General features: G+C 49.9%; 1 protein-coding gene and 1 long non-coding RNA gene across 26 annotated transcripts in view, besides 9 other annotated features; one reads left to right on the top strand and one right to left on the bottom strand.

The window, feature by feature from the left end:
• SLC2A9 (solute carrier family 2 member 9) overlaps positions 1-17,214 on the top strand; it is a 269,246-nt gene that overhangs the window by 17,368 nt on the left and 234,664 nt on the right. For 14 of the 23 annotated variants that reach the window (XM_011513856.4, XM_017008457.3, XM_047415974.1 and 11 more), the window contains exons 1-2: positions 1,406-1,623; positions 3,830-3,928. In XM_011513856.4, coding sequence (XP_011512158.1) covers positions 1,474-1,623; positions 3,830-3,928 — 249 coding nt within the window. In that variant the 5' untranslated portion in view covers positions 1,406-1,473. The other 9 variants (XM_011513858.2, XM_047415973.1, NM_001001290.2 and 6 more) reach the window with 5 other exon arrangements.
• Positions 1,425-1,924: an enhancer, noted in NCBI's record as "H3K4me1 hESC enhancer chr4:10022603-10023102 (GRCh37/hg19 assembly coordinates)". NCBI's record gives its function as "activates a minimal SCP1, AML or CMV promoter by ChIP-STARR-seq in primed H9 embryonic stem cells {active_cell/tissue: H9 hESC(primed)}" and the evidence as "EXISTENCE:reporter gene assay evidence [ECO:0000049][PMID:30033119]".
• Positions 3,938-4,097: a silencer, noted in NCBI's record as "silent region_15275". NCBI's record gives its function as "represses an Ori minimal core promoter by ATAC-STARR-seq in GM12878 lymphoblastoid cells {active_cell/tissue: GM12878}" and the evidence as "EXISTENCE:reporter gene assay evidence [ECO:0000049][PMID:35858748]".
• Positions 6,250-16,423, bottom strand: LOC124900664 (uncharacterized). Of its 3 annotated transcripts, none has more exons than XR_007058024.1 (2): positions 16,211-16,423; positions 6,250-13,425 (listed from the first exon to the last, which is right to left on the bottom strand). It is a non-coding gene; the product is annotated as an uncharacterized LOC124900664 (long non-coding RNA). The 3 variants fall into 3 exon arrangements; XR_007058026.1 differs by having other exon boundaries at positions 6,250-13,345; XR_007058025.1 differs by having other exon boundaries at positions 16,285-16,423.
• Positions 7,657-7,756: an enhancer, noted in NCBI's record as "active region_21307". NCBI's record gives its function as "activates an Ori minimal core promoter by ATAC-STARR-seq in GM12878 lymphoblastoid cells {active_cell/tissue: GM12878}" and the evidence as "EXISTENCE:reporter gene assay evidence [ECO:0000049][PMID:35858748]".
• Positions 9,006-9,065: a silencer, noted in NCBI's record as "silent region_15274". NCBI's record gives its function as "represses an Ori minimal core promoter by ATAC-STARR-seq in GM12878 lymphoblastoid cells {active_cell/tissue: GM12878}" and the evidence as "EXISTENCE:reporter gene assay evidence [ECO:0000049][PMID:35858748]".
• Positions 10,584-10,878: a silencer, noted in NCBI's record as "tiled region #5160; HepG2 Repressive non-DNase unmatched - State 14:Gen5'". NCBI's record gives its function as "represses a minimal TATA promoter and a strong SV40 promoter by Sharpr-MPRA in HepG2 cells {active_cell/tissue: HepG2}" and the evidence as "EXISTENCE:reporter gene assay evidence [ECO:0000049][PMID:27701403]".
• Positions 15,230-15,279: an enhancer, noted in NCBI's record as "active region_21306". NCBI's record gives its function as "activates an Ori minimal core promoter by ATAC-STARR-seq in GM12878 lymphoblastoid cells {active_cell/tissue: GM12878}" and the evidence as "EXISTENCE:reporter gene assay evidence [ECO:0000049][PMID:35858748]".
• Positions 15,560-15,909: an enhancer, noted in NCBI's record as "active region_21305". NCBI's record gives its function as "activates an Ori minimal core promoter by ATAC-STARR-seq in GM12878 lymphoblastoid cells {active_cell/tissue: GM12878}" and the evidence as "EXISTENCE:reporter gene assay evidence [ECO:0000049][PMID:35858748]".
• Positions 15,560-16,968: a biological region, named in NCBI's record as "BRD4-independent group 4 enhancer GRCh37_chr4:10007559-10008758".
• Positions 15,769-16,968: an enhancer, noted in NCBI's record as "BRD4-independent group 4 enhancer chr4:10007559-10008758 (GRCh37/hg19 assembly coordinates)". NCBI's record gives its function as "activates an origin of replication core promoter dependent on BRD2, P300/CBP, MED14 and CDK7 cofactors, and independent of BRD4, by STARR-seq in HCT116 cells {active_cell/tissue: HCT116}" and the evidence as "EXISTENCE:reporter gene assay evidence [ECO:0000049][PMID:35650434]".

Raw genomic sequence — 17,214 nt, 5'->3', positions numbered from 1 at the left:
GGCGTGCTCAATACATCCCCAACCTAACTCCTGAGGGTGGTTTTCCTCTTTGGAAGTCTTGATTCCCCACTTGCTTTGAGCAGCCACATTCCCACCACCGTGCATGTCAGGGCCGGACGTTTCCACGTGCGTTTCACATTCCAGGTTCCTGGAATGTCTGCCGTACTCCACACCTTTTATTTTATTGTGTGCTTTTTACTAAACGTACTTTGCTAACTTTTCGATCTCTCTTTTGTGGACTGAGCCCTACCTTGCCTCCTGGACGTTCTGCATTCACCAAGCCTGTCCCTGGCTCTGGCCCAGACTCTGCACTGCTCTCTGCTTCTGGGAGCAAACTGTTCTAGCCAAAATTGAAGGTGCTTCTCTGGCGTCTGAGGCAACATGGCCATGTGATGAACTGATTCCCACAACCTCCTGGTGTGCATGAGGCCCTTGCCTTCTCAGTACTGTCCTTGAGCCAGCCTGGGGCTGGAATACAGGACATGTCCCCTCAGCCAGTGCTGAATGAGCAGGACAGAGTAACGACTAAGAGGCAAATTCTTTTTCTTCCAAACCCACAGCCCTCGCCTTTGTTCTAGGCTACAGGAGAGCCCACACTCATTTACAGCACGCCACTTGGGGCTGGCTGTTTTCTATTTGAGCTTCAGAATAAGTCTGCAGGACAGTCAGAGTGGGGTCAATATTCCATTTTGCAGTGGTAGAAGTTGCAGCTCAGAGAATAAAGTGACTTGCCTGAGGACACACAGTTAAAAAGTGGAGGAGTTGGCCAGACATGGTGGCTTACGCCTCTAATTCCAGCACTTTGGGAGGCTGAGGTGGGCAGATCACCTGAGGTAAGGAGGTCAAGACCAGCCTGGCCAACATGGTGAAACACAGTCTCTACTAAAAATACAAAAATCAGCCAGGCGTGGTGGCACACGCCTATAGTTCCAGCTACTTGGGAGGCTGAGGCAGGAGAATTGCTTGAACCCAGGTGCGGAGGTTGCAGTGAGCAGAGATTGCATCAGTGCACTCCAGCCCGGGCAACAGAGCAAGATTCGGTCAAAAAAAAAAAAAAAAAGTGGAAGAGTCAGGGGCAGAGCTGTATGCAGGCTTCTGAGTCAAAGTCAGCCACCTCTCCATTCTGTTCCAAGCATTAGGGAGGTATCCTAGGTTAATGGCAGTCACCCTGCTCCAGGCTTTGTTACCAGAGAAAAATAAAAAGATGCTAAGAAAAAAAAAAAAAATTCCACCCCCTGGGTGGCAATCCTGGAGAGGACAGATTTCCCTTTTTGGACTGTTTCATTGCTGTAATAACTTAGGAGCAGAGAAAAAAATGTTGCCCCGTTGCCTGTTCAGGCATGATCAAATTGCCACACTTCCTGTCAGGAACTCCCGCCCTCCTTCCAGTGGACTCTGCCTCCTCACTCACGGAAATGCCTTGGCAGAGTCTGGGGTCCCTGGACTGAGCCATCAGCTGGGTCACTGAGACCCATGGCAAGGAAACAAAATAGGAATTCCAAGGAACTGGGCCTAGTTCCCCTCACAGATGACACCAGCCACGCCGGGCCTCCAGGGCCAGGGAGGGCACTGCTGGAGTGTGACCACCTGAGGAGTGGGGTGCCAGGTGGAAGGAGAAGAAAGGTAACTACGGACAGCTTTTCTGCATGGCTGGCGGGCTGTGGGGAAGGCAGGCCTGGGTGGCAGCCGTGTGACAGTGCTCAGCCCCAGCCTGGCAGCGTGTAGCTGGGGGATCTGGGGCTTTGAGGCAGGGAGGCCTCAGTTTGAGTTGCACTTCTCCATCTGTGTGACTTTGGCATGCTCTCTCCAAGCCCCAGCTGACTGGGCCAACAGCGTCTCTGGTAGACTGGGTGTGTACATGGAATGAGGCTATGGTGGCAGGCTGCCCTGCCCCGCACTTGCATGGTGGTGTCCCTCTTCTCACCCTCCCCAGGGCATGGCACGGGCAGCAGCACCGTCGGTCAGTGGGCACCCTCTGCCCGTGCAGTGAGTGGGGAGCGGGTGGAGGGCACAGGCGGGCCACACAGGCAGGGGGCTCCGGGGAGCACAGCTGAGGCAGGAGAAGATGGCCCCCACCTGCCCTTCACCAGCCTCTGGCAGGGGCACTTCACACCAGGTGCTCCCAATCTGATGGGGTGCAGACCAGGGAGGAGTTTGTGTCCTCTAAGGTCATCGGGGCTGGGAGCAAAGAAGGCACAGAGCACAGAAACGATGCCCAGCACAGCCCAGGGGCTCAGAAGAAGTGGTATCTGTGCCGAGACTCAGAGGATAGGTTTAAAGAGAAAGAGTGATAGAGAACAGGCGTTTCATCTGAAATGTGATTCTGTTCCATCAGGGATCCCCATTCAGCTCAAGCTCCTCTCACTGCAGAAAAATATTCTGGTACTACATTTCAATTGGCAGCACCCATCCCCAAGGCTTATAAATGTTCCCTCTTGCCCCCGCATGTGATCAGCAGCCTCTACGGAGCACCTCCTCTGCAGCAGGCTCCTCAACAACATATGTGGCCAGTGCTGCTATTAAGATCCCATTTCACAGGTGGGCAAGCTGAGCCCCAGAAAAGTCAAGTCACTTGCTCAGACTCCTACAGCTGAGGGGACTGGCCCTGGAGGTAAAGCTGATATCACTTGGCTCAAAGCCCCAAAGCTCTATCTCGTGGCTGGTGGCACTAGAGGAGACAAACGAGACTGGCAGAGCAGGTAAGTGGCCATCAAGAGACCCGCATTCCCTTCCAGACGGGATTTGACTGATATGGGTCCCTGAACCATGGATCCATATGTCTTCTTCACTGTTGCACCCCCACAGCTTTGTCAGGGCCTGGCGCCTACAACACACACACACACACACACACACACACACACACTCACAAATATGTCAAATGATGGCAAAGAAGGTGCCTTCCGGAGCACCTGGCCCCTGTCCACTTGGCCTGTATTCCCTGACCAGCTGAGGACAGCCATCCCTCCTGCCCTGGCTCATGCCAGCTTGTCAGCCTTTGCCAGGGATCCAGGTGTTTCTGCCCTATGGCCCTGTACTGGTGGTGGCTGTCCTTAGATGGGGCTGCAGGGCAGGACAACACCAAGGCAGGCGCCCTGTTCTCTGTGCCAAACCTTGCATCTCTACGTCTGCAGGTCCTTGTCCTGAGGCTTGGACCAGCCCCTGTAGTTTGACGCCTCAGACTGGAACAGTATGTGCATGTAAGCGTGTGTGCACATCTGTCTGGCTGTCGGCAGTCTCAGGCCCTTGGACAACGGCACTCAGGTGACGGGTCAGCAGGGGACAGTGCAGTGGTGACTAGAGGGGCACTGCAGCCAGGCCACCTGGACTTCAGTCCCCATCCTAGACAGCACCAGCCACGCTCCCTGCCCCTCTTTCCTCACCTGTAATACAGGACATAACAGCACTGATCTAAGGACTCAGAGACAATGCGCAGAAAAGTGCTTAGAATCACGCCTGGCTGATAGCGCTTGGAGTCTGGCTTTGCTTTTTTCTGTCTGGGTCGGACACTCGCCAACTTCGCTGAAAGGATCGTGTGGAGCTGCCCAGAGCAGCTGCTGAAAACTGCGTTTCAGGAATCCTCACGCAACCCGGAAGGAACGCAAGGGCGTGGCCGCTAAACCTGAGGGCGCCCGGCCTGCGCACGCGGACCTGGACTGGAACCCTACTTGCAGGTCCCCAACTTGCGTCTCTTCTCTCTGTCTCTACCCCAGCCAAGGACAAAGACTTCTCCTCCGGAAGGCCTCCCCCAGCTGAGGGAACGTTCCAGGTCTTCCCTCGGCCCTGGCTGCGCGCCCGGTGCCGGCTCTGACGTGGTTTCCTCTCCCCTCAGGACTGGTCCTGCTCGCTCCTCGTGGCCTCCCTCGCGGGCGCCTTCGGCTCCTCCTTCCTCTACGGCTACAACCTGTCGGTGGTGAATGCCCCCACCCCGGTGAGTGCGCGCCAAGGCCCGGCAGAGGGCGCTGCGGCCCTGCGGAAACCTTCGGGTGCGCAAGGGCCCTGGGCTCCAGCGCCCCCTCCTGTTGCGCTCGCGGCGCGGGACACCGCGGGGACAGAGATTAGCCCCCACTCGGGGGAGAGGGGAGGCACAGAGACAGACAATGATGACACGGGGACAGGGGCGGGGGATGACAGTTCTTGCGGCTGGAGGGCGGGTGTCCTGGGAGAACGTTGGGAGACTAGATGAGAGGGGGCTTCGGAAGTCCCGGGGTGGGGTGGGGGGCGATCCTCTGGCCCCTAATGCCGGGGAAAGAACCAGGAGGGGCCTTATGCATGGAAACTTGGACATTTTCTTGATTTGTTTTGTTGTTGTTGTTATCTATCTATCTATCTATCTATCTATCTATCTATCTATCTATCATCTTTGAGATGGAGTCTCACTCTGTCACCAGGCTGGAGTGCAGTGGTGCGATCTCGGCTCACTGCAACCGCCGCCTCCCACGTTCAAGTGATTCTTCTGCCTCAGCCTCCCGAGTAACTGGGGCTACAGGCATGCACCACCACACCCGACTAATTTTTGTATTTGTAGAGGTGGTGTTCCGCCATATTGGCTAGGCTGGTCTGGAACTCCCAGCCTCAAGCGATCCGCCCACCTTGGCCTCCCAAAGTGCTGGGATTATAGGCTTGAGCCACTGTGCCCGGCCTGGTGTTGTTGACTTTAAATTACAACCAGAGGCCACTCAGGTATCTGCTGGATAAGACCCATCTTTGGCTTGTGTTTTACTCTGAAATCAGATCCAGGTGCAATTCTCCCAGGCCCTCTTCACATTGTGCCTCTGGTTTGCAGTTAAAGGTTGGGTACTGCCTACCTAGGCTGTAAGGTTTAGATGCTATCCTGTGGGTGCTGGCTTTGGCTTTGACCTACCACCACCCACAGGCAAGGGCAGGTTGGAGGCTTGAGGGAAGCTTTCCTGCAGGAAGTGATGCCTGACTAAGTTTGGAAGGTGGAGTGATGGATGGGGGGCCGGGATGTAGGACACATCTGGGGAAATGCGGGGAGCTCCAGGTTCTTGGAGCACAGGCCGTTTTGGAGACACGGATATAGGACACATCTGGGGAAATGCGGGGAGCTCCAGGTTCTTGGAGCACAGGCCGTTTTGGGGACACGGATGTAGGACACATCTGGGGAAATGCGGGGAGCTCCAGGTTCTTGGAGCACAAGCTGTTTTGGGGGCAGACAGGAAGCAGGCTGAGGACAGCCCTGGGTGCCTTCCAGGCTTTTCCTTGCTTGGGAGTCCAGCATCCTTGTGTACAAAACATAGGGGAAGCCTGGGTCAGTGAGTTTCAAAGGTTCCCATGAGCCCTGGAATTTTGCAGAGGTGCCTCACGGATCTAAGCACTATTTGCGCAGGTCAGTTCTATGTTTAAAAAGTCTGTTAATTATTTGACATTGTTCATTTCTGTTGCTAAAAACTGTTTGAAAACCAGGGGGCCTAGATGGCTTCAGTAAGCACTGCCAACAGTCAGTGATCTTTGATTTTGTCATTGTGACGTCATTCCAAGATGGGGATCTGGCTTGTCGATATTTGTCTTTGAAAGAGGGCTAGGAATTTGGACTCTTGCTTCATCTTGAAAGTTCATCAAAACATCCAGGTGAGAGGTGGGGGAGAACCTTTGCACTCATGGCTTGTGGAGCAGAGTTATGTGAAACTTACACCTGGGATAGAATGATATGGGTTCAAGCACTGACTATGGGAACATGAGGACGGAGGAATCCCATTACTCACTTATTCATTCAGCAAGCATTGTTGAGAGTTTATAATGTATCCAACTCTGGGGATCAGGGAAGACAGCCTGGAGGAGGTGGTATTTGAGCTGAGTCATGAGGGATGTGTAGAATTTCCACAGGTGTCAAAGGGAGGTGGGGAGCTGAAGCACACACACAGAGGCCTGGCTGTGCCCACATGGTGGCATATTAGGAAGTTAGTAGCGTGTGATGTGCCAGTACCTAGGGGGAATGCAGAGCTGGGATGAAAGAAGAGGTGGAAAAGCAGGATGGAGTCAAAAGAAGAGGGCCTAAGATCTTAGGCTGAGGAGTAGGATTTTAGTCTTGGGCAGTAGGGAGCCATGGCAGATTCATGGGGGTGGGGGTTTGCAACTCACATTTTTTTAATTAAAATTTATTTTTCTTTAACCATGACACACCCTCAGGAGGTCCTGAGAACACGTGCCTCCTTATTTATTTACTTATTTAATATGCTCACTGTTTTTTAGAAAAACAACTTTGGTGTCAGTGAGAAGGACAGGAGGGGCCAGAGCTTAGAGGTATTTAATGGGAAAGACCATGGTAAGCCAAACAGAGAGAGTTTAACGTGCCCTCCCTCCGTTTCGGGAAAGGAGATTTCTGAAGATCTACACAGCCAGGGTGGCCTTTACCGTTCTTAAGATGAGTGACACATATTATGGCAGCATCAGTAAGAGCACAGATGGAAAAAGCCCTCATGAGGTGCCGGCCCTCCTCCATGTACTTTTCATGCGTTAATCAGCTCAGTGCACCCTCATGACAGCCCTGTGAGGTATGGATCATCATTATCCCCATTTTACAGATGACGAAACTGAGGCACACTGTTCACTGACTTTCCCACAGTCACATAATGAGTGGAGCCAGAGTTTGGCCCTGGGCGGGCTTCTGGTTTCCCAGGCATCAGACACATTTTCAGTCATTTTTAAAACAGATCCTTTCTGTGCCAGGCAGTGTTAGGCCATGGGACTTCTTGTTTGGGATATCGGAGCTCTACCTCTGTGGCCAGTATGCGCAGCAAGGTGTTCAGTCTTGAGACATCACAAGGCGCTTTTTAGCCTGGTGTCCTTTGAACCTCGAGACCACGGCTCGTCATGCATACTTTAGAGGAGCCCAGAGCAAGCACCCCGAGGAGGCCTTGAGTCCAGGACTGAGCCATCTGCCCAGATCCACGGCCTGGGAAGTGTCATCCCCAGTTGGGTAGCTACTTCCCAGCATGTGCTCTCTGCCTTTGAAGAGGAGCAGAGACTGTGATGGCCAGCTCATCAACTCTGCCAAAATGTACTGCATGCCAGGCGCATTCCATTCTCAGAAATACAGAGACGTCAGTGTCTTTGGCTGTAACAAAACAGCACAGCCTGGGGTCTTCAGCAAGACATTTATTTTCCCATACTTCTCCAACCTGGAAATCCAAAATCAAAGTGCCGGTGGATTCGTTGTCTGGCAAGGACCTTCCTTCTGGCTTGCAGACGGCCTCTTTCTCACTGCCTGTACATGGCAGAGGGAGGAAGAGTGCAAGGGAGCAAGATACTCATCCCACCATGAGGCCGCCCCCATGACCTCTGCTAACCCCAGTAACCTCCCAAAGGCCTCATCTCCAAATACCATCACATCGGGGTTAGGGCTTCAACATGCCCTATCCTTGCAACAAAAATGTCATGCAACATTTTTGGAGGGGACACAATTCAGGTCAAGGTAGTTAATTACTGATGTTACCTTCATTTCATGAACAAAGAAACAGAAGCTCAGTTTAAGCAACTTGCCCAGGTTCACACAGCCAGGAGGTGGCAGTGTTGGAATTCAAACCCAGGTCTGTCTGAATCCAAGATCCGTGCCATGCTCTCTGCCCCTCCTTCCTGCCCCTGACCACTAATGGCAGGCGCCAACAGTCCAGCCATGGGGGGAGTTTGGCATGATCAATAAAGGCAAAGAGGAACAAGGGGAGATGGGAGGAGCCACAGCAAGCCCAGGGCTACTTACCTGTCCATCTACCAACCAAAAGACAGAGCAAGGTTTCACTGCAACAACCCTAGGGGCTCAAGCATAAGGTGGATGATGCTGCCATCGTGTTACAAGCAGGCACCTGTGATTGTCTGAATCCTGTCCCAACCCCTCCCTCCCTCGGGGTTCTCATAGAGCAATTCTCATAAAGGACCTGATCTAACTGAGAAACCGAAGACAGCTTTATTATTAGCTAGAATCATTCCCCAAACTCTTCCCCTCCCTATGGGGTTTGGGGTCATGTAACCTCTTCCTGCTCTGCCTAAAGGTCCTGATGTTTTATGTTTACTTGTGCTGCTTTGTGAGAAGAGAGGGGTAGCTGTTCAGGCAATCCTTCAGTGCCCTTCCCTGGGTGTTGACCTTGCTGTATCTGGGGTAGAAAGATGAAAACGACACACATCCATGTCCTCGAGGTGCCCCAAGACCAGCAGCAGTGACAGAGGCTCAATAAATAATCACCAGTGAGACAGGCTGCATGGAGCCACAGGACAGCTGAAGGACTGTATTCTACCTGGGGAGGTCAGTGGGGCCTCACTGGGGCTTGAAAGAGAGAGCTCAAGGCTTTCTGGGAATGGTGGAGACCTAAGGGTAGCTGGATGTGGGGTCCAGTGGGGTGGAGAGGTAGAGGCTGGAAAGGGGAGCTGAAGCCAGATCAGAAAGGTTGCAGAGGCCAGAACAGGAGCATGATCCAGCACCACCCAGGCTATGAGCAGGCTGAGGGCCAAGGCTCGCCCTGGGAGGCCCTTCCGAGGTGGAAACTGCCCTGAGTGTGAGCTGAGCAGGCCTGCACAGAATCCCAGCTCAGAATCCTGCAGAGAATCCCAGGCACCATGTAGGTGCCTCTGTAAAGGGCTGGTGTCGAGCCCCTTGTGAGGTCGCTGCGAAATGAAAGGAGATGTGATGCTGGAGGAGCTCAGCCCAGCGTCCAGCGATCACCTCGAATTCTCTCTTCTCCTTGCAGTGGGCTTAGAAACGGGTGAGTGAGGCAGCCCCAGAACCAGGGAGACCAGGAACAGAGCAGAGCCTCTAAGGAATGGAATCTAACACAGGCTGGAAGGACCCAAGCCTGGCAGGGGTTTAGGGTGTGAGAGCTAGGCTTCACCTGGGGTGCTGGGCTCTCGAGAAGGAGAAAGAAACCCTTGGAACAGAAGAGGTGCAGATATTAGTGCTGCTTTGGAGTGCGGGGAGGGTATCTGCTCACAGAGATGATGAACAAAGGCTGCCACCAGGGGGTGGTGTGTGGATGCTGCCCCATGGGAAGGTGTGCTGCCTTTAGCACTGGCCCAGGCTTGTAAGTCCTCGGCCCAGCCAGCTTCGCCTTTCCAGCTGTTAGATAACTGGGGGCCCAGGTGATCGGGGCACAGACTCCAGGCAGTGGGCATTTACCTTCAGGGCAGGCAGCTTGCACTGTTAGAACAATCCATGCAGTAGCTGCCGTTGGCCCTGCTGCCACCCAGCCTCAACCTTAAAAACGCTCAGTGCTCCTCTCTCCTCAGATATTTGGAAACTTTCTGTAATGCCGAAAATGAAAATAACTCGCCTCTGGGCACCAGCTCTGCACTTGACCCAGGTTCAGAATTGTGTGCACACTGGATCCTTGTTATAATATTGCAAGGCAGCTATCACTAACCCCCTTTTAAAGGCGAGGAAACTGAGGCTGAGGGAACCCAATACATCCAAGTTTCAGGGGTGGGACACTTCCTAAACATTCCCACTGGCTTCTCCTCAACACAGTCACCTGGATGTGCCTCCTGGCCACCCAACTTTCCAAGAATCCCCAGGATCTGACTACTTTTCATGCCTCATTTGGAAGAGAACACCTGCACCTCGTGCATCCACAAGGGTCCTTGGCCAGCTTGGTGGATGGGATGTGAACAGAGGTGCTGATAGGCCACATGAGGCCTGGTTTATGGCAGCATCCCTGGTTATGGCAGCACTGAAGAAAGATCTTCAGTCCTTTCTTCCCCCAGATGGCAGAGAACTATTAAACGCACACTGGACTTTGCATGAACTGGCAAGAGGTTCTTATTGTCCTTAGCTGTTGAAAATCAGGGTTATCTGTGCTGTGCTGGTGCGTTGATCACCAAGATGAACACCACAGTAGCTAGGCTCTATTCATTCTCTACACTAAACCCTAACTGGTTTCTCTGTTTCCACTCTGGTTCCTACAGTTTAGTCTCCACCCAAAGGCCAAAGGGATCCTTGACAAATGAAGCAAGATCATATTGTCCCTCCGCTCAAAACCCACTATATCTAGAAAGCAAGCCAGACTGTGGTGACTTACACGGTACCTGGGGCCGTGACACATGACACATGACAGATGTGACCACTCTGTCATCATCATTTCCCCCCTCACTCCCTCTTCTCCATTTACACAAACTTCTCCCCACTTGCTGCCCCTCAAACACACCGCACGCTGGAACCTCAGAGCCTTTGTGCGTGCTGCTCCTGCTGGCTGCAGTGCTCTTCCCTTGATTTTCCTGTGCACTCTCCTTTGATTACTTCTTGCCTCTGCTCAGACGTCCCCTCCTCAGAAATGTCTTCCCTGACCAGCCTATCCAAAATGGCACCCCTCCATCACGCTTTAGCCCTCACCGAATTTATTTCTCCTCATGGTATTTAACACTACCTGAGATATGACATATTCCTTTACTTCTTGTCCTCCTTCCCTTCACTTTAGAAAGGTCCTTGCTTCTGCAGTGCCAGCACCTAGAACAATGTCTGACACATTGTAAGCATTTATAAAAAATATTTGCTAAATGAGCAAATGGATAAATTTAAATTTAAAGTGAGTCCAAGGCAAGTCCTTAGGTCTCTTCACTCTCAAACAAATTGCCAGCTGTGAGTCTGTCCTATGGAAAACTTCTGGGACCACCTCCACCATGTTCACAGATGGGGACTTGGACACTGGTCTGTCTAATTCCTGAGTATCCCTTCTTTCTGTTCCACTAGGCTGATCTGCTGCATTCTGTGAATCAGCAAACGTTCTGTGAAGGTCCAGCAAATGTTCTGTGGAGGTCCAGATAGTGCGTGGTTTTTCTTTGTTGGCCATATGGTCTCTGTTGCAACTACTGAACTCTGCTATGTAGAGATAAAGCAGTTATAGATGATATGTAAATGAATGGGTGAGGGTATGTGCCAATAACATTTTATTTACGAAACAGATGGTGGTCTAGGGTTTCCCTTGCTGGCCAATTGTTGGCTAACCCCTGTGCTAGAGGTTTTAGAAAAGGGAGGAGGCTCTTGTAGATTCCTTGTGTCATTAGTACCTCTGGGCAGAGGGCTGGCTGGCTGAATAATTAATCCACAGCCTATGCTGCATAGCATCTAAATAGGAGCACCTAAATCTTCCTGAAGATGTTTGCTTTCTAATCTCCTTTCTTTTGTTCATGTATTGCTGATTGTCTAGGCTTTGTCCTTTCTGTTTCCAGTGACTAGCTCCAATTGGCATAGTTGTATCTTTCTGTCTATCCATCTACTTACTTACCTGTCTGTCTAAAACATCCTGAAGTTATTGTAAAAGACTGCCAAATTTAGGGCTAATTTGCATACCAATCAAATGTAGCCTGAATTTTCAGACAGTCATGCATGCAAATGTGCTAATCTGAATCCTTGAAAATGGCTTCAGATTTATGCCATTGTAATCGTTGACCTTTAGTAGGAAAATGTTGCAGTGCCTGGAACCTGCTTCATTATACTGCTAGAATCATCTGGGATGATTGCCAGAGTTGTGCTGAAAGATGTCCTCTTGGTACCTGTGAGCACCCAGTGTCTAGAATCCACCTGAGAGGTTGTTAAGGGCTGGATGGAGACCCACAGACTGGAGTGGGGGGTTCTGAGCCCCAAGGGACATTCTCTGGGGACTGAAATGGGCAGACAGGGCTGATACAGGCCTGGGTGGGATGGTGGTGCCTGGGCAAAGCATGAGTCAAAGCTCCTCTTGCTCATGGGTGTTGTCCACAGAGCCTACAGGAAGATTCTGGAAGCAATGTTCTAAAGAAATGCAAGGTCTGTGGCAGGGCCGACAGTATGGAGCCCAGACTTCAGTCCAAAAGGGCCCAACCAAGACAAAAAACAAGCCAAAGGGTGAGGGGTTCAAGAGTAGCTGATCCATGAGAAGCAACTATTGAGGTGATGGACCTGGATGGATTCCTGACCTGGGACTCACGCACTTCCTATGATTGTAGGAGGATCCCACATTGCAATGAGCCCAAGAGAACAGTCAGCCTAGGCAGAACGACCACTGGGGGATGGACATTAAGAAAAGTCGCCAAGAAAAAAGGACCAAAGTTGAGATAATGAATGTGTTGAATAGGAGTTATGAATGAAAATAAAAATTAGAAAGCAAACAGGGAATGCAGTGGTTGGGGGAACAGAAGGTGAGGTGGGCGGGACAGTTCAGGGCTAATCAAAAGGGTAGACAGTGAACTTGGTGCCTGTTTGTGCAGTTTCTGGCCTGTAGCTTGGGGGAAATGCTTGGAGGCTTGGCAAAAGTATAGCAGTCAGGATTGTACAGATCAAAGTGTCACCTAAAACAATACTGTTCATTTGTTTCCCTGGCGTCTATCAAAGTACCTCGCACACAGCTTCGCCATGACTCCTGATGCTAACTAGCCATTTAGGCCAAACTTCACAGGTTAAGAGCACAGCCGTTCACAAGACTGGCCTTACTTCAGACACCAGCGACAGGCTCAGGGGTTCCGTGAACATATGGTAACACATTTGGGGGTTCTCACTACCCCTTCTGGTTTGATAATTTGCTCAAATGACTCACAGAACTCAGGAAGTGCTATGCTTAGAATTACAGCTTTATTATAGCAAAAAGGATACGAATCAGAATAAGCCACAAGAAGAGATCACAGGGCAAGGTCTGGAAGGATTCCAGCTCTGGTGTTCTCTCTCCTCCCACAGAGTGTTGTCTACCAGGGAAGCTCACCCAAGCTTCAGTGTTCCAAATTTTTATTGGGGTTTCATCATGTAGATGTGATTGATCAAATCATTGGCCATAAGGTTGAACTCAATCTTTGGTCCTCCTCTCTTCCCTGGAGGTAGGGCTGATGTCACTTGGCTCAAAGCCCCAACCCTCTATCACATGGCTGGTCTTTCTTGCATGGCCAACCCCCATCCTGAGTTATCTTGTTAACATACACTATCAAGGGATTCTGAGAGGTCTGCCATGAATAACTCAAGAAATCCCAAGAATTCACAGGCTACATCCCAAGAACCAGGGACAAAGGCCAGCCAAACTTTATTATACAGTTGTCTACTGTGTATATAAGATTTACATTACACAAATGCATATTATAAACAGAAAATACTCAAAAAATGTTTGTAAAATGAATTAGTGAGTGAGAGAAGGAAGGAGTGAGAAAGAATGAATGAGAACTTAACTTTAGGAGTCTAACTCATTGGCCCCACACCATCCAATATAAATTAGGACTTATTTGAAACAACACTGGCAGCCACAGAAATAATACTGAATGGCTTGGCTTTGATAAGAAATTACTCACTTTTCCAGTGGTTTTTGAGTTAGCCATGTTTTGTCTTCTTGGGAGGGGAGACACAGACTCTTGTCCTTCATGGTGTTAGTATTTAAGCCCAGGGTTTCTGTAGAGCAATTAAGTTGACTCAATGCATTTCCCAGCATAAATGGTATATTCTATTATTTTCTCCTGTCTGCTCCTTCCCTAAAGGCAGATAAACAAATGATAATAAAAAGCAAAATCAACATTTCCCTCTATAAGGGTAGAGCTGCCCAGTTAGCCACAGATGTTAGAACCTGATCAAACAAGATTCAAGTGAACCAACAGAGAGAGAACCCAAAAGCAAGTTCTGGTGCTTTCAGTTAATCCCACCCCATAATGCCATCTTAGCAGGCTGCTCTGGGAACCCAGGCGCTCTTAGAGAAAGAAGCATGTCGCCTGGCAGGTGCCTCTGGTGTGGCCTGAGACCCATTCTCAAGGAAACCAGGAGGGAATGATGAGCAGAGACTGTGTCAAACGACATAAGTTCTGGTTGGGGTGAGGGGGAGGCATAGCAGGGCTCAAGACTTTGGTGGAAGAGGGCTGAGATTACAGGAGGACCCTGTGCATTGTGTCACTGCAGAAACAACGGGCAATTATGTCTATGAAATGGGTATCTCTGAATCCCAGAGTTTTGTCCCCTCACCCCCCGCTCTTTTCAGTTTTACTCTTGCTTTTGTCTCACTTTATCTCAGTAACTATAAAAGCAACAGACTTCCATTAGGAAAAAAAAAAAAAAAAACCACCGCACAGAAATTTGATAATGAAGCTACACATACAAACATTCTTCTGTGAGTGAGAGATGATCTCTCTCATTTGTATACCAGCCCCACATGGCAGATTTATGCTGATAACCCTGTATTACAAATAAGGGAGAGATTGAGTGACTGGCCTAAGGCTACCTAGCTAATAGATGGTACACTTGGGCCTGAACACAGTCAAAACCCAGACTCCATCCAGAGGCCGCTTTTAATGTGTCATCTAAATCCACTCTTTTTTCTGAAGATCATCATATATACTGTTTAATACTCTCTTTTTTGGCTTACTATTTATTTGTAAGCACCTTTCTATGCTATTGGAAGTTCTGCATCACCAGGATGTTTAACAGCAGTGTGGAGCTGCCTCCTGTGATGTCCTATCTTCCTAATGTGGGCCTCTGAGGTTGTTTCCAATTTTTCTCTAATATGAGATGCTGCTGCATTGTTTAAATTGGGATCTGTGAGTCATTGTTTGGTTTGGTTTGATTTGATCAGAGCCAGCACAGCTGCTGACTGATGAGGGCCCAGGGACCTTTTCCAGCCTGGGGCGTTGGTGTCCAGGTGTCCCAGGCTGTGAGTGCCAACTCCCCCCGCACCATGCCCTGGAGGTCCCAGCGATTAGAGCTGGACAGCCTGCCTCTTTGATATAGAATTTTCTCATTTCATAAAGTTTCTCCAAGAAAAATGCCTTTGTTGAGCCAAATGGGGAAAGGAACTCGGTCCCATCAAATCTCCAGGAAGCTCAGCTTAGTGCAGTGGGGGCAGTGGTTGCTGCAGCCAGAGAGCTGGGGATAGCTGATCCAGCAAGATGGGAGGTAGGGAAACTTGGAGGGCTGTGTTGGAGTTGCACAGCTGGTGTGAACAAACCAGACAAGTGAAACTAGAAGCACCCTATTTCTGACCCATAGGGGAAGACCCTGAAATTTATTGAGCACCTGCTGTATGCTGACATCATGCTCGGGACTTCACACACCTCATTTCATCCTTCTGGCGGCCTCATCTACAAGCTAGGGGTTCTTATTCCCATTCTATAAATGAGTTATTCCAGAATTGATGTTGCAGACGGGGCCCCTGCTACCTCAAGCATCCAGAAGTGAATTGACTGGTAATGAAAACAATTTGCCCTTTTCATTCCGGCCAACCGGAGGATATGCAAAAAGGAGAGCAAAATATCATCTCAAGTCTGCGAAAATGCACTGTTCCCTGTAAACACAGCTATGCAACCTCTCAAAAGAATGTTCCAGCAGGAGGAAGGCTCAGGACTGTGATTGAATAAGAATAATATTGGGAGTGCATTCACTTCTCTGCTTCTGCCTGGGGCCAAATAGACAATGAAACTTACCTTCTTTATGTTTCAACTAATTAAACCCAAGCATTTGGCTGCCCCCTCACTGCAAAGGTGGCTGAGGGGAAACCCAGGAGGCTCTGAAAGCCTTACTTGCCTGGCTGTTGCTTGTAATTGATGTTTCCTCTTTCATCATGTTTCATTTCATTCTGAAAGCTAACTGTGGGAACAAAATAGTCTCAGGTGTCTGGAGGCACAGGAGCCTCTTTCCCAGTGAGTCAGCCAGGCTCCTCTGGGAGAATCACTTGGGGAGGAGGAAAAAACACCACAAACCTGCAAACCTAATGCTCAAGTCAAGCCAAAATGGGAGCTGAGTTTTTTCCTTAGGACAAGGGAGGTGTACTGGGGTCACCCAACACCACCTTCAGGTAGGATAATTCACTGGCATGAGTCACAGGCGTTGGCACAGGAATGCGGTAGTACTCACAGCTATGACTGATCACAGTGGTGGAACACAATGCTAAGTCAGCAAAGGAAAAAGGTGCAGGGGTGAAGTCCAGAGGAAACCAGGGGCAAGCTCCAAAGAACTCTTCTAGCAGAGCCTCACGGGACGCGCTTCATCCCCACAGCAACGAGTTGTGACAACTCTTGTGAAATTTGTCTAACAAGGAAACTCATTAGAGACTTGGAGTCCAGGGTTTTTCTCGGGGGGTGGTCACATAGGCACTCTCTGCTTGGCAAGCAGAAAATTCCAGATTCCCAGAAAGAAAGCAGATATAAACCACACTGAGACAGCATAAACCACACTGTTTGCACAGTTTAGGTACACTGAGTCACTCTTACCAGATCTGGGAACGGTGGCAACCCTTCCAACATCCAAGTTCCCAGATGCAAGCCCGGGACTTACCCTGCAGCAGGCTTTTCTAGGAAGAGAAGTCTCAGGCGTGCTGTGAGAGCTCTTTTCTACACAGGAGGCCTTACCTCGGGGAGCCAGGCGACATTAGGTAGCACTGCTGGGATTGTGGAATTTTGTTCTTGTGGGGCCCTAACTTCAGAGGGCCTGGTTCAACAATGGGTACTTTTTTAAGGACTTCTGGACTGCGTTCTTCCCTGTGCCAGTGTGTTCAGTGGTGCAGACTGTCTTTATAAAGCCCTAAGGCATTGTGGCATGACTTCCTCTCTTATGCAATGGTGTGTGTACTCTGGCCCAGCTACCAAGTGTTACTTCCGTGTATTTTTACAGGACTCCTGAGAATCGTTCCAAGTGAGTTCACGGGAGGCTCTGTGTGAATCAGTAAGGCACATTAATATTGTTAAACGGGCTACGAGGTAATTTGCCTCCCATTGTCTGGCAATTTCTTTTATTATTTGGAGATGCTCTAAGCCAGTCTTGGCTGGGAATTGCAGAGTTCAATTTTATGTCCAGAGGCTTGGTCCCCAGGTTCCTGGCCTGGGAGATAATGGTAAGTGATTCATGGATTCTTGAATCTGACAAATAAATGAGCCTAGGCCCCTTATTTTACAAATATAGCAGTAAAAATATCAACAACACTACCACCAACCACCCCAATTTCCGGTTTTTATTGTGTACTTCATATCGACCCAGCACTGTGCTGTATCTTCATTCTCTCATTAAATCTTCACAGTAACTCTTCAAGGAGGGCAATGATTTAACAGATGAGGAACCTGAGGCGCAGAGAGGTTAAGTAACTTACTCAAGGTCACCCAGCAAAGAAGTGGCAGAGCTGAGAGTGGAAAAAAGCCAATTCCAACTACCTTTAACATTGACAGCACTTCCAGAGAGGCACACAGATTGCTTAAGATCACCCAAGGCCACAGAAAGACTCAGTGATGCAAGCAAGTGTTAAATCCAGAACTCTTGGCTCTTTCTTAAGCTTCCTTTGCTTTAAC

The sequence above is a fragment of the Homo sapiens genome, chromosome 4 (assembly GCF_000001405.40).
Source record: "Homo sapiens chromosome 4, GRCh38.p14 Primary Assembly".
Classification (NCBI taxonomy): Eukaryota; Metazoa; Chordata; class Mammalia; order Primates; family Hominidae; genus Homo; species Homo sapiens.
Note: the sequence above shows the minus strand (reverse complement) of the source record. Positions and strands in the feature narration are given on the sequence as shown.